This window comes from Homo sapiens, chromosome 15 (genome assembly GCF_000001405.40).
Source record: "Homo sapiens chromosome 15, GRCh38.p14 Primary Assembly".
Lineage (NCBI taxonomy): Eukaryota > Metazoa > Chordata > Mammalia > Primates > Hominidae > Homo > Homo sapiens.
In genome coordinates this window covers 34,235,555-34,249,182 of record NC_000015.10, presented here as the reverse complement: position 1 = coordinate 34,249,182, position 13,628 = coordinate 34,235,555, and the positions used below count along the sequence as shown (strand labels likewise).

Below are 13,628 nucleotides of genomic sequence, written 5' to 3'. Positions count from 1 at the left end.
TTTGCCTATGTTATTGTAATAATCTCCCTTTTAGTTCTAGCCTCTAATCCTTCTTCCACACTGCCACCAGAATGACTTTTCTAAAACACAAAATTTGAACATACAAACCTCCCTGCTTCAGAGCCTGCCAAAGCCTGTTAAAATCCATCACTGTAATCTGGCCCTCTCTACCTCTTTTTACTGTTATCTCCTGCCATTCCCTCATAAGCTCCCTAACTTAGAGTTTAATATGTCTTATTATGTCTCCACGTATAAACACATTTGTCTGTGTTATTTCCTTTGCTTAGAATAGGTTACTCCCACCTGGCCAACTCATATTCATCCTCTTAGAGACTAGGCTAAGGGTCTTCTCTCCTGTAAAGCTTTCCCATACTCACCCAAACAGAGGTAAACACTCCACCTTGTGTTCAGCAACTCCATTTGAATATACTATATTATAGCATTTATGATGCTATATTGCAGCTACTTGTTTTCATATTACTCTCCCCTACACGTTGAGCTCTTTGAGGACTCGAAGCCTAACAGATGCAATATAAATATTGTTGACAAAAATAAAAAGCACAATATATATATGTATATAACACAGTATATGTGTGTGTGTGTGTGTGTGTGTGGGTGGGGGTGTATATATGTATGTATATAGTATAGTATATTACTATACCATTGTAGTAGGAAATTCATGGAGCTTTGGTAAGTTACACCATGATATAAAAATTATTATTGAGAGTGTAAATTAGAGTATCATTTTGGAAAATTATTGGTTATTATCTCCTAAAGTTGAACATGTGCTTACCTATGACTCAGCATTTCCACTTCTAGGTATATCTAACAGAAATGCTTGCACATGTGCATCAAGACTAATTCACAAGAATTTTCACAGTAGTGTTATTCTTATTTATTTATTTATTTATTTTTGCCTGCTTCATTTTCTCTTCATAAGTATTCTTAATAGCCAAAACCTGGAAATAATCCAAATGTCCATCGCTAGTAGAATGATTAAATTATATATTCATGTAATAGGAAGCCATACAGCAAAGTAAGTCATAGCAATATACACCTCCCCCCAAAAAAATTCACAAGCAATGCTAAGTGAAGAAAACCAAACACAAAAGTATGTACTGTGTATCATTTATATAAAGTTTTAAAACGGTAAAACTCTATAGTATTCAAAGTCAGAGGGCTGGGTATGGTGGCTCATGCCTGTAATCCCAGCACTTTGGGAGGCTGAGGCTAGAAGATTGTTTGAGGTCAGGAGTTCCCAGACCAGCCTAGGCAACATAGCAAGACTTTGTCACTACAGAAAGTAAAAAATTAGCTGGGCATGGTGGCGTATGCCTGTAGTGCTAGCTACTGGGAAGGCTGAGGCAGAAAGATCACTTGAACCCAGGAGGTTGAGGCTACAGTCAGTCATGATCACAGCATTACAGTCCAGCCTGGGTGACAAAGCAAGACCCTGTCTCAAAAAAAAAAAAAAGTCAGGATAGTGGAGAGGAAGAAAGGACTAATGAGTGGGGATGGGCATAAGAGAGAATTTTGGGTACTGGCAGTGTTCTGTTTCTTGACCTGCATGGTAGTAGGTCAACACCTACAGCATGGGTGTTGGATTTGTAGAAATCTTCAGATGTGCATTTGTTGTTTTTTTGCACATTACTTTTTTTTTTTCCCCTAGATGGAGTCTCGCTCTGTCGCCCAGGCTGGAGTGCAGTGGCGCAGTCTCGGCTCACTGCAACCTCTGCCTCCCGGGTTCACGCCATTCTCCTGCCTCAGCCTCCCGAGTAGCTGGGACTACAGGCGCCCGCCACCACGCCCAGCTAATTTTTTGTATTTTTAGTAGAGATGGGGTTTCACTGTGTTAGCCAGGATGGTCTCGATCTCCTGACCTCGTGATCCACCCGCCTCGGCCTCCCAAAGTGCTGGGATTACAGCCGTGAGCCACCGCACCCAGCCTTGCACACTACTTTTTGTGTGTGATACTTAATAAAAATTGTTAAAACGAGTAATTAAACTGATGCTATGTTTCACCCATCAAATTAGAAGTGACCTTAATTTTTTTTAATACAGAAGACTGGTGTGGAGTGTGCATGTGCCACAAGACTTGAATCTTCTTATATTTCCAGTGGGAGTAAAATTTAGTACAAACTTTCTGGACAGCAGTTTAGTAGTGATTTTGAAATGTTTTAAGATATTGATCCCTTTGGTTAGTTATTCCCTCTTAAGAATCTGCCATAACTTAGCTGGGCACAATGGCTCATGCCTGTAATTCCAGCATACTGGGAGGCCAAGAGGGGAAGATCACACGAGCCCAGGAGTTCATGACAAGCCTGGGCAACAAGGCGAGATCCTGTCTCTACAGAAACTTTTGTAAAAGATTAGTCAGACATGGTAGCACACACTTGTGGTCCCAGCCACGTGGGAGGATGAGGCAGGAGCATCGCCTGAGCCAGAGAGGTCAAGGCTGCAATGAGCTGAGATAGCGTCACTGTACTCCAGCCTTGGCAACAGAGTGAGACCTGTCTCAAAAAAAAAACAAAACCTGCCTTAAGGAAAAAAACCTGAACTGTGAATGTAGATATGTGCATAAAGATGTTAATTATAATATTTTATATAATAGAAAGTCAACACTAGAAGAATGGATAAGAAATTGTGATGCAATATTATTCAAATCACTACAAATTTTTATTCATAGCTTTTTATGACATAGAAAAATGCTTACATTTCAAGAATACAGAATTATAGTGCAGTGAGATCGCGATTTTTCTAAAAAGCAGATATTTTGATACCCTGAAGGGGAAAGTTACAACTGAAGCTTAGCTTATTTTCTAGCCCCATATGTATTTTTTTCCTAATATAGGTCAATAGTGCCGTTTGATCAAATCTGGCTATCTTATATTTCGTAATATTATTTGTCTCACTTTTGATTCTCTAAAACTTAGAAAAAAAAAACTGGGTGGGCTGGACGCAGTGGTTCACGCCTGTAATCCCAGCACTTTTGGAGGCTGAGGCAGGTGAATCACTTGAGGCCAAGAGTTCGAGACCAGCCTGGGCAACATGGTGAAACCCCATCTTTACTCAAAATACAAAAATTAGCCAGGTGTGTTGGTGCACACCTGTGATCTCAGATGCTCAGGAAGCCGAGGCAAGAGAATTGCTTGAACTTGGGGGGCGGAGTTTGGAGTGAGCCAAGATCACACCACTGCACTCTAGCCTGGGTGACAGAGTGAGATTCTGTCTCAAAAAAAAATTGGGTGAATATCTCTAGTCTTTCAGTCTAAAGTTATTTCCAGATTAAATTTCCCACTCCTATTTCTTTCCCAGGTTCGGTGATGCTGTGAAAGGTAATTTGGTGGTAGGCACCTTATCTTGGCCATCCCCATGGGTGATTGTTATTGGCTCCTTCTTTTCAACATGTGGGGCTGGACTTCAGAGCCTCACAGGTGCACCGAGGCTGCTACAAGCTATTGCCAAGGATAACATCATACCGTTTCTGAGGGTGAGTGACCTTTTATTATGCCCTCTTCTTTTTTTCCCAGCTTTAATGAGAAACAGTGTGGTCTTCATGGGCTTAGAAATTACTAGATCATAAATGTGGAGACGTGGGTTTTTAGTACAAGAACCTCTAAATCCCAAGCATGAGTTTACCTGTGAGTGCTGTAAAGGTATTTAAAAGGTATCACAGTTGTAACACTGTTGTCTTCCAGATGTCTGAAAACTGTAGGCTAGAGAAATCAGAGAGCAATGACTCAGTACTCCTGTGCCTGATATTTCCCTTCTGTGTACAGGTTTTTGGCCACAGCAAAGCCAATGGGGAACCTACCTGGGCTTTACTTCTAACTGCTGCCATTGCAGAGCTTGGAATACTCATTGCCTCCCTGGATCTTGTGGCCCCAATTCTTTCCATGTAAGAGCCAGTGATTCTCTTCAGTTATTCTTGCTTAAATGATAAATAATGCATGTTTATTTCCATCAGTCATATAACAGTAGTGATAACAGAGTGGGCTAAATACAGATGTAACTTCACTTAAATAAAAATCATTCCTGAGAACTTCCAAGTAAGGCTAACTTTTGTAAGTTATTAGGTTTTTTCCTACCTATTTAACTTCAAAAGTTCTTTGGCTTCATTTCTAATTCATTGTCAATTGGTTGTAGCTTTTACCACCACTGTTAGTTTTTATTTATTTATTCACCTATGACTTATTGATGCTTACTACTTACCTGGCACTGTGTAATGTGGTATTCTGGGAATACAAAGATGGATAAGACACAATCTTATGGAACTGATAATGGATAAGGAAACCAATGATTCCCATATAGCGTGATGAGTGCCATGATAAAGGTGAACACTGAGTGCCCTAGGAACACCAGAGCAAGGCATCTAAACAGATGGAAACTCAAGAAAGATTTTCCGGAGGAAGTGATACTTGTATCTTGAAGAATAACTGGTTATTTGCTAAGAAAATAAGGGGTGAAGAACATTCCAGGCAGAGAATGCATATAAAGGAATTGAGGGATGGCATAAGGTAGCACATCCAGAGAACTGGAAGTAGTTTGGCTTGGCTAGAGTGGAGGGTACATGTTGAGGGAATAACAGAATAGAGAAGTAGGTAGACCCAGATCACAAAGGTCCTGGAACTTTTACCTGGAAGTAGTGGGTAATCCTTGAGCACAAAATGATAATGCTTTAGGATGATCAATCTTGTATAAAAGATGGATTAGAAGGAGGCTAGAATTGAGCTGGGAATGCTAATTGGAAAGAAGAAATGAGAGCCTGAACTAAGGTGATTAGTAGTAGAGATGAAAAGGAAGAGAAGCAGCTTAAGAGATTTTTAAATAGAATCCATAGGACTTGGTAAGTGAATTTGGAACAAGGGTAAGGAAGAGGAAACCTGGATTATCCTAAGAACAACTGGGTAAAGAGTGGTTGTGTCATTGACTGAGAGAACAGAGAAGGATGAACAGTTTTGTGGGGAGAGGTTTAAGTTTCCCTACTTCCTACTTAATCAAGGGTTAGTTGTCTAGAAACAGGCTTCAATACAGCAAAGGTATTCAGTTACTTAACCTTCAAAGAATCATCTTCCAGTAATAATCATTCCTCTTACTCTTTATTCTTCAGGTTTTTTCTCATGTGTTACCTCTTTGTAAACTTGGCATGTGCCTTGCAAACATTACTTCGAACACCCAACTGGAGACCCCGATTCCGCTACTACCATTGGTAAGTCTGCTTCTTTTATTCTTTTTACTCACGTTTGGAGAGAACCCATCTTTGAACTAGAAAACTAGGAGAGTCTGGGTTCTCGATAAAATTTTTTTCTTGGTCAGCCATTTCATACTGTTTCAACTTTCAATTCTTATCTGAATCCTCATCCTCCTATCCTATTTTCCTATATCACTTTATAATAACTTATAACACCCAATACGAATAGAGCAAAAGCACTAAATAGAGATATCCAGCCTTCTATAATTTTCAGGTTAAAACAACCTTCTCTTGCATGTTTATTTTCCTGTTTGTCTCTTAGGGTTACAGAGTCAGAGGTTCTAAATTCCAATCTCAGCTCTACTATTTCCTAGCTTTGTAACCTTCAGCAAAGCACATAACCATGTAAAATTTAATTTTATTCATTTGTAAAATGGGACTAATAAATCTAAAGTGCTTATCGTAGTGCCTGATACATAGTAAAGCTCAGCTCTCAATGAACTGTTGCTGCTGCTGCTGTTGTAGTTAAGTCTCCCCAGTCCTGAAGGGGTCATCATGAAAGATTTTTGGCTACCATCCCATCTCTTTCCTCTTATAGCTCAGAGCTCATTAATTATGTCCTGTATGTACCCGTTGCTACATTCTTCTTTGCTAACTTTCTCCTTGTTCCCTTTCTGTCTTCACTTACCAATGGTGGGCAGTGATGTAACGTTTACTGGGCAAAAATTAAAATCTTCAACTGATTTTTAATGCCTCAAATCCTCTTTCTAGCTTTAATGTTAGTTAGAAGTTCTTTATGAGGCCGGGCGTGGTGGCTCATGCCTGTAATCCCAGCACTTTGGGAGGCCAAGGCAGGCGGATCACCTAGGTCAGGAGTTTGAGACCAGCCTGACCAACATGGGGAAACCCCGTCTCTACTAAAAATACAAAAGTAGCCGGGCATGGTGGCACATGCCTGTAATCCCAGCTACTCAGGAGGCTGAGGTAGGAGAATCGCTTGAACCCGGGAGTCGGAGGTTGCAGTGAGCTGAGATCCCAGGTTCACACCATTCTCCTGCCTCAGCCTCCCGAGTAGCTGGGACTACAGGCGCCCGTCACCACACCCGGCTAATTTTTTGTATTTTTAGTAAAGACAGGGTTTCACCGTGTTAGCCAGGATGGTCTCAGTCTTCTGACCTTGTGATCCATCCGCCTCAGCCTCCCAAAGTGCTGGGATTACAGCTGTGAGCCACCGCATCCGGCCCAAAAATAATTTTTCTCAGTGAGTTCTGCAGTTATGCTAATAAGTATTTATAAAATTTTTAGAAATATTTATATGAAATTTTTTAAAAAGATCCTAGAGTTATTAACATTTCTGGCTGCGTGTCCCATCCTGGCTTTGCCAAGTAAGTATTAATTGTCCTCATAACTGCAGATGACTGATAGTGTTCCGTTATTTATATGGTTTTCCAGCAGTTGGAAACATCTTCTGTTGCAAAGGACAGTTTGGGGTTTAGTGCACATCTACCGACTGTTTCATGATAAGACAACTATAGAATTGAGAATAATCATTTAGAAACTTTTGTGGCAGTTTGACATTGCTACAGCATCCAGGCATGTGATAATTTTTCGAATAATTCATTTTTATTGCATTTTACAAAAGTTCTATTTATAATAGTTTCAAAGTTTTTAAAAAATAATACCTCACCACAGATAGTTTGAGAAGCACCTTTAACATAGGCTTCTTTTTCAGCTACTTTAAAAGATACTTTTTTGTTTTTAATTTTCTAGGGCCCTTTCTTTCATGGGAATGAGTATCTGTCTGGCTCTGATGTTCATTTCTTCCTGGTATTATGCCATTGTAGCCATGGTAATAGCTGGTATGATCTACAAGTACATTGAATACCAAGGGTGAGTGTGGATTTAATCTTGATCACTGCTAAAAGTAGCAAGACTAGCTAGTTTGGTTAGAGCCAGCTCAGTGAAAATATCTTAAGGACTCAGGTAACTTCATTTTCATAACTATATTTTGTACCCCTAATTCTTTAACCATCTTAATGATGCAAGCTTTTCATCACAAGGGAGATCCATTGAGAAAGTATGAATGGATCAATGGAAAATAACAAAGGACATTTCCAAATAATAATAATTAGTACTAAACAAAGTACAACACAAATGTAAATATTTTTGCTTATCTCTTCAGTCAAGGGGTTGTCTCTGAAATGAAAAAGAAATTAGTTCTGAACAACTTAGTAACTACTAAGACTTACAGCTTTCAAAAATGAGGACGAAATAACATTCTTATTCAGAAGATCACATTGAACTTTACTTTCTCTGCATTATTTTCAAAGTAACTTAAACTCCAGGTCTGTTATAATTTTCTAATCTAAATTGCTCTTTTACATTATTGTTTTGAACAATTACATAGAAGGACTGAATGAGTGACCCCTTCAGGCTTTATTGGGAACTGTTTGTGCAGTGCAGTCTGTTGGTGCTGTTGATCTACCTACATCAGGTTCATTATGTTAGTAAAGAACATTATGTAAATCATTAATCTGAGCTTTAATCTTCTACCTTGCACATGTGTGATTTTTAGATTCAGAAAAAAACTTTATTTTTTAAAATTATACTTACTATAGTTTAAATTTGTCTCTGCTCTTTTCTTTTTCTCACAGAGCTGAGAAAGAATGGGGTGATGGTATCCGTGGGCTGTCCCTCAGTGCAGCCCGGTTTGCTTTGCTTCGATTGGAGGAAGGACCTCCACACACTAAAAACTGGAGGTAAAGAAATCAACACTAGCAGTATTTGGCACATGGTTAACACACAAAAATATGTGTTTTGTTGATTTTAGGATAAGGAAACCATATGTGGCTCAAGGAATTGGTATAATGGACCTGTTTTGAACTATTCTAAATCCTTAATTTTTTTATTCCCTTTTCTTCATGTCGTTTATGATCAAGATTTCTACAATTTATTATTCTTCCTTGAAGACTGATCAACTTGAGATAGTACTGGGAGCATTCAAAATAATGCCCTTATCCTGTCATCTCCTGTGATCTCTTCCTTCTGTCAAATTACCTGTTTCATACAGATCTCCTGAATTAAAGGGTGGAGTCTGTCATTCTGTTCCCCAAACCCAAAATGTTTTCTCCTCCCCTCCAACCCCCACCAACCTCTTCACAGGCCTCAGTTGCTTGTATTACTGAAACTAGATGAAGACTTACATGTCAAGCATCCTCGCCTCCTCACCTTTGCCTCACAGCTCAAAGCAGGAAAAGGTCTCACTATTGTGGGCTCTGTCATCGTGGGGAACTTCCTAGAGAACTACGGTGAAGCTTTAGCTGCTGAGCAGGTAAGAGTCAGGCTTTTGAGGTATTGGAACTCAGTTTACAGCTTTGTGATGTTAAGTAGTAAGACCTCAAACTTCTACTTGAATCTTGTTCCTGAGTGATCTAGGAGGTTTCTCACTTAGTGCTGACCTTTGAAAGGACACTTTTTCCCAAATAATAAGATGAGCCAAAAATAGTTATTTATTATTTCTTCCTGTTTAAAGCATTACTAAATTATAAGATTATTAAGTCTAAACCTTATGTTCAAATATACTCCAAACATTAATCTAAGCACTGAGAAAAGTCATGTAAATAAATTGATCCCTTGAACTATGGAGAGGGTTCCTCTCAATCTTGTGACAACAAGGAGTAATGACCAAATTTTCTTCCTCTTTACTAATCTACGTGGTATCATGAGCAAGATTCCTTTGCCACTTCTGGTTAGCTGTATTGAACATTAAAGTTCTACTTTAACAAGGAAGTTGTTTTCACTCTAATACTTATTATATATGATAGAACTAATCCTATTGTTTTTGAAATGCCATTGTGTTCAATGGCATTTCAAAAGTTTTACTGTGGGGGGAGGGGGGAAGGATAGCATTAGGAGATATACCTAATGTAAATGACGAGTTAATGGGTGCAGCACACCAACATGGCACATGTATACATATGTAACAAACCTGCACGTTGTGCACATGTACCCTAAAACTTAAAGTATTTAAAAAAAAAAGTTTTACTGGATTTCATTTTGGAATCCTTTGAAATCCTAAACACTAGAAATGCTGAAGAAACATTACTCCAGAATGATGGTAAAAATTAATAAAAGGTACACAGGATTGAAAATCAGGAGAGCCTAGTTCTTAGCCGCATCACTGATTTAATCTGTGCCTTTGCAAAAATCATTCCATTTTCCATACCATTATTCCCAGGGTGGAGTAAGAGTAAATGAGATGATATCTCCAAATTGGTTTGACTAAATAAAGGAAGAGTAATGCAAATACAAGTGTCATGAATAATCACCATTAAAATGTCAAAAAGCATATGGGAATGGGAGAGGCGAAAAAGAAAACATACCTGAGAAAATTCTAAAGTGAAACTGAATCATCATACTGAGTTTCTGGTAAGATGAGTCAGGGCATGACTGGGGCTGAGGCAGGAAGGAGATCGTGTTCACAATAGTGAATCACCCTGGTCAACTGAGAAAGAATGTTGAATATTCACTTTGTAGAGATCCCTGTTCCCAGTTTTTTGGTATGGTGCAAAGGAACAAAAGCAGAACAGAGGAAAAAGCAGAGAAACTACATGTAGACAACCAGCTACAGAGGCAAAAATACGTAGTAAGCAAAAAGACAAAAGATCATGAAATTCCTTTGGGATAATTTTAACTTTTTGGACTTTTCTGTAGATGATATAGTATTATGAAGACTTTGGAAAAAGGTGGGGGATATAATATGGAGAAGGAACAATGGGTTAAAATGTCCAGAGTGAACCAGTTCAGTGTTGCGGTCCTGTGTCTCTTTCAGACCATAAAGCACCTAATGGAGGCAGAGAAGGTAAAAGGATTCTGCCAGCTGGTGGTGGCCGCCAAGCTGAGAGAGGGCATTTCCCACCTCATCCAGTCATGTGGCCTTGGGGGCATGAAGCACAACACGGTGGTGATGGGCTGGCCTAATGGCTGGCGTCAAAGCGAAGATGCCCGCGCTTGGAAGACTTTTATTGGTACTAACCATTTCTCATACAAACCTAAAGGCCCAAGTCGAGGGTATATAGTTAAATCTCTGTCACCCCCAGCCTCCTAAAGTAGAGACTATGCCATTGCTGAAGCATAGTCTTATAAGGCAACCTGAAAAACTATTGGTAGTAATACCCAGATTCTACCTACCCCCTTCAGCTTCACATTATGTTCATGAATTATTTCTGTCAAGTCTTGTGCTAGGAATTATCTCCAAAATTGCCGTGTTTTCATTTGTGATTTTCCATATTGATGTTCTCACAGGAATTGCAAGAATTGTTCTTCAGCATCATAATCTCTCAAATTCACATATCCCCCCTTAGAAATGTAGTAATGGGAATATACCTAGTAACATAAACTGTGGTTCTCAGTCTGTTAGCTATTCAGATTTTTCACAATGGTTTTTGATACGTAATGAGAAATAACCTACTAAGTAAATAGGACCCCTTGCTCAAAGAAGTGTGAAAAGAGCATTTCCTTGCTTTCCTGACATGCTAGGAAGCAAGGCAAGCCTAAGGATTCTTCTCTGCTTATTCTTTTTTCTCCCTAGGCACAGTTCGAGTGACAACTGCTGCCCATCTTGCACTGCTGGTGGCTAAAAACATCTCCTTCTTTCCCAGCAATGTGGAGCAATTTTCTGAGGGCAACATTGATGTGTGGTGGATTGTGCATGATGGGGGGATGCTTATGCTACTACCATTCCTACTGAAACAGCACAAGGTATTTTATACAACTTTTTTTTTACAAAAGTCTTTCTCCCTTCTGTCCTGGTTCACAGGACAGACAAATTCTTCCTCTGATTATAATAGTGTTGGGGTTTAGAATCAGAAGAGTTGGAAGTTATTCTAGGCTTTCCCATGATCCCACTTTCAAACAAGAGAAATCATTGTCTTTGTATTTGATACCTACTTATCTCCAAGTGAAATTCAGCCAATTAATAAAGTTCCATATGAGCCCTAGGGGAAAACAACAAGTGAACACATCTTTTTTTAAAAAATACTGAAAACTTAAGGTATATGTATATGTGTGTATTGCACGCATATATGCGCTCATTCCGTGGTAAGACTAATTAAATGAGATTTAAAATAGTAAATATATAGTCTGCATGTTGTCATTGATACACTGTCTGAATAAAGTACCCTCTTAACGTATCGTGAACCATCTTTTCTTTTGCCAGTGTTTTCTTGTTATGAAATTAAGGACTCCTTAAAACTGTATTAAATGTGGTGTTTAGTCAATCTTTTGCCCTAATACAATAACATAGCAAGTAGGAAGCTAGGAACAAATAGCCTTATACTACATATAGCAAGGTTCTTCTAGACCACAATGTCTAATGTCTTAGGAAATAACCTTTTTTGCCTCCTTGCTCTAATTTTTCACATGTGTATGTCACTCTCTCAGGTGTGGCGAAAGTGCAGCATACGGATCTTCACAGTAGCCCAATTAGAAGACAACAGTATCCAAATGAAGAAGGACCTAGCCACCTTCCTATATCACTTACGCATTGAGGCGGAGGTAGAAGTGGTGGAGATGGTGAGAAAGCTGAGTTTGAGATACAAGAGGTTCATTCCCCCATTCCTCTCCCTGTCTTCCTTGAATCTTTTCTGGTTTGGGAAATTTTTCAGATCTAAATGTGGATTAATCCCCTAGTGCCAAAAAAAAAACAAAAAAAAACCCTAATTTGTTGCCCTAAGTAGAATGTATATGTGATGCATGTTTGATGTTATTTTTTGGTTTTGCTTTCTTGTTTATTACACAGCCCTTATATTTCTGCCAGATTCTCATCTGCTTAATATAGTTTTATGAAATTTTTATTCATATATTCAGCTTAAAATCACACATGGCTTTTAAAAAAAACCTAACAGTATAAAAAAGAGAGACTGGAGTTTGTATTTTGTGTTTCAAGGCAACACATGTCTTGGTTAGATTATGGAAAAGACTCTCAGGGCCTCTGAATTTTATCTACAGTCACAAAAACATTTATGTAGCTCAATGACTAAACAAAGTAAGGGTGAAGCTTAGGTTAATATAGTGATGCTGTCCCTGGTTTAATTTAGTGACTGGAAATAAAAATGTATGGTTCATCCTTCTTTCTCCTTTGTGCTTTTTGCCCCTTTTATGTGATGTCTATGGCAGCATGACAGTGATATATCAGCATATACTTACGAGCGCACTTTGATGATGGAACAAAGGTCCCAGATGCTCCGGCACATGCGGCTATCCAAAACAGAGCGAGACAGAGAGGTGAGACATTACTGCATCAATCCAATCCGTGCTCTCTAAAGTCTGTCACTGAAAGGGATGATACTGGGCTGGGCATGGTGGCTCACGCCTGTAATCCCAGCACTTTTGGAGGCCGAGGCGGGTGGATCAAGAGGTCAGGAGTTCAAGACCAGCCTGGCCAAGATGGTGAAACCCCATCTGTACTAAAGTACGAAAATTAGCCGGGCATGGTGGCACATGCCTGTAATCCCAGCTACTCAGGAGGCTGAGGCAGAGAAGTGCTTAAACCCAGGAGGCGGAGGTTGCAGTGAGCCAAGATCACGCCACTGCACTCCAGCCTGCGTGACAGAGGAAGACTCTGTCTCAAACCAAAAAAAAAAGGGATGATACTATATTGTTTTCAAGGATGACAAATTCCTTCTCACTCTGTCAGTTATTCCACTATAACCCATTACTGCTTCAAAATAACCAAAGATGAAGCATAAGAGAAAATTTGGTAGAATAACTTGTGTTGGACCTTCTTCCTCAGGCACAATTGGTGAAAGACCGAAACTCAATGCTACGATTGACCAGCATTGGCTCTGATGAGGACGAAGAGACAGAAACCTATCAGGAGAAGGTGCACATGACTTGGACAAAAGACAAGTACATGGCATCCCGGGGACAAAAAGCGAAGTCAATGGAAGGATTCCAGGACCTGCTTAACATGCGTCCGTAAGTTTTCCCACTCCCAAGTTTATCATAAAATTACCTAATCAGTGGCACAAATGTGACTTTGCCTGGACACACAGGATGGAGTCTGTTCATTTCACCCTGAATCTAGCCACCTCATTATTGTTTGCCTGTTCATACTGGCTCCCAATGAACACTGTACACAAGCTAACCATCCCCTCTATCCACATAGTTCACCTCCATACTGTGTTCTTACTATAAAATAAGCCAACAGAGAATGAGAAAACCCAGATATTAATATCATAAAGAAACCATTTTAGCCTGGGCACAGTGGCTCACGCCTGTAATCCCAGCACTTTGGGAGGCAGAGGCGGGTGGATCACCTGAGGTCAGGAGTTCGAGACCAGCCTGCCCAACATGGTGAAACCCTGTTTTTACTAAAAATACAAAAAAAATTAGCCGGGTATGGTGGTGGGGGCCTGTAATCCCAGCTACTCGGGAG

The 13,628-nt window shown here is 39.6% G+C and overlaps 1 protein-coding gene and 1 long non-coding RNA gene across 12 annotated transcripts in view, besides 1 other annotated feature; one reads left to right on the top strand and one right to left on the bottom strand.

Annotated features, from left to right (window-relative positions):
- Window positions 1-13,628, top strand: part of SLC12A6 (solute carrier family 12 member 6) — a 108,274-nt gene that overhangs the window by 88,875 nt on the left and 5,771 nt on the right. For 9 of the 11 annotated variants that reach the window (NM_001042495.2, NM_001042494.2, NM_001042496.2 and 6 more), the window contains 11 exons: window positions 3,316-3,490; window positions 3,780-3,898; window positions 5,111-5,209; window positions 6,962-7,081; window positions 7,846-7,950; window positions 8,354-8,522; window positions 10,023-10,218; window positions 10,782-10,951; window positions 11,633-11,764; window positions 12,368-12,475; window positions 12,984-13,168. In NM_001042495.2, coding sequence (NP_001035960.1) covers window positions 3,316-3,490; window positions 3,780-3,898; window positions 5,111-5,209; window positions 6,962-7,081; window positions 7,846-7,950; window positions 8,354-8,522; window positions 10,023-10,218; window positions 10,782-10,951; window positions 11,633-11,764; window positions 12,368-12,475; window positions 12,984-13,168 — 1,578 coding nt within the window. Of the gene's footprint in view, window positions 1-3,315; window positions 3,491-3,779; window positions 3,899-5,110; window positions 5,210-6,961; window positions 7,082-7,845; window positions 7,951-8,353; window positions 8,523-10,022; window positions 10,219-10,781; window positions 10,952-11,632; window positions 11,794-12,367; window positions 12,476-12,983; window positions 13,169-13,628 lie in introns of those variants that run through there. The other 2 variants (XR_931960.4, XM_011522269.4) reach the window with 2 other exon arrangements.
- Window positions 3,361-6,057, bottom strand: LOC124903461 (uncharacterized). The gene is made up of 2 exons (XR_007064576.1): window positions 5,242-6,057; window positions 3,361-3,931 (listed from the first exon to the last, which is right to left on the bottom strand). It is a non-coding gene; the product is annotated as an uncharacterized LOC124903461 (long non-coding RNA).
- Window positions 9,178-10,377: an enhancer, noted in NCBI's record as "P300/CBP strongly-dependent group 1 enhancer chr15:34531007-34532206 (GRCh37/hg19 assembly coordinates)". NCBI's record gives its function as "activates an origin of replication core promoter dependent on BRD2, BRD4, P300/CBP, MED14 and CDK7 cofactors, with strong dependence on P300/CBP, by STARR-seq in HCT116 cells {active_cell/tissue: HCT116}" and the evidence as "EXISTENCE:reporter gene assay evidence [ECO:0000049][PMID:35650434]".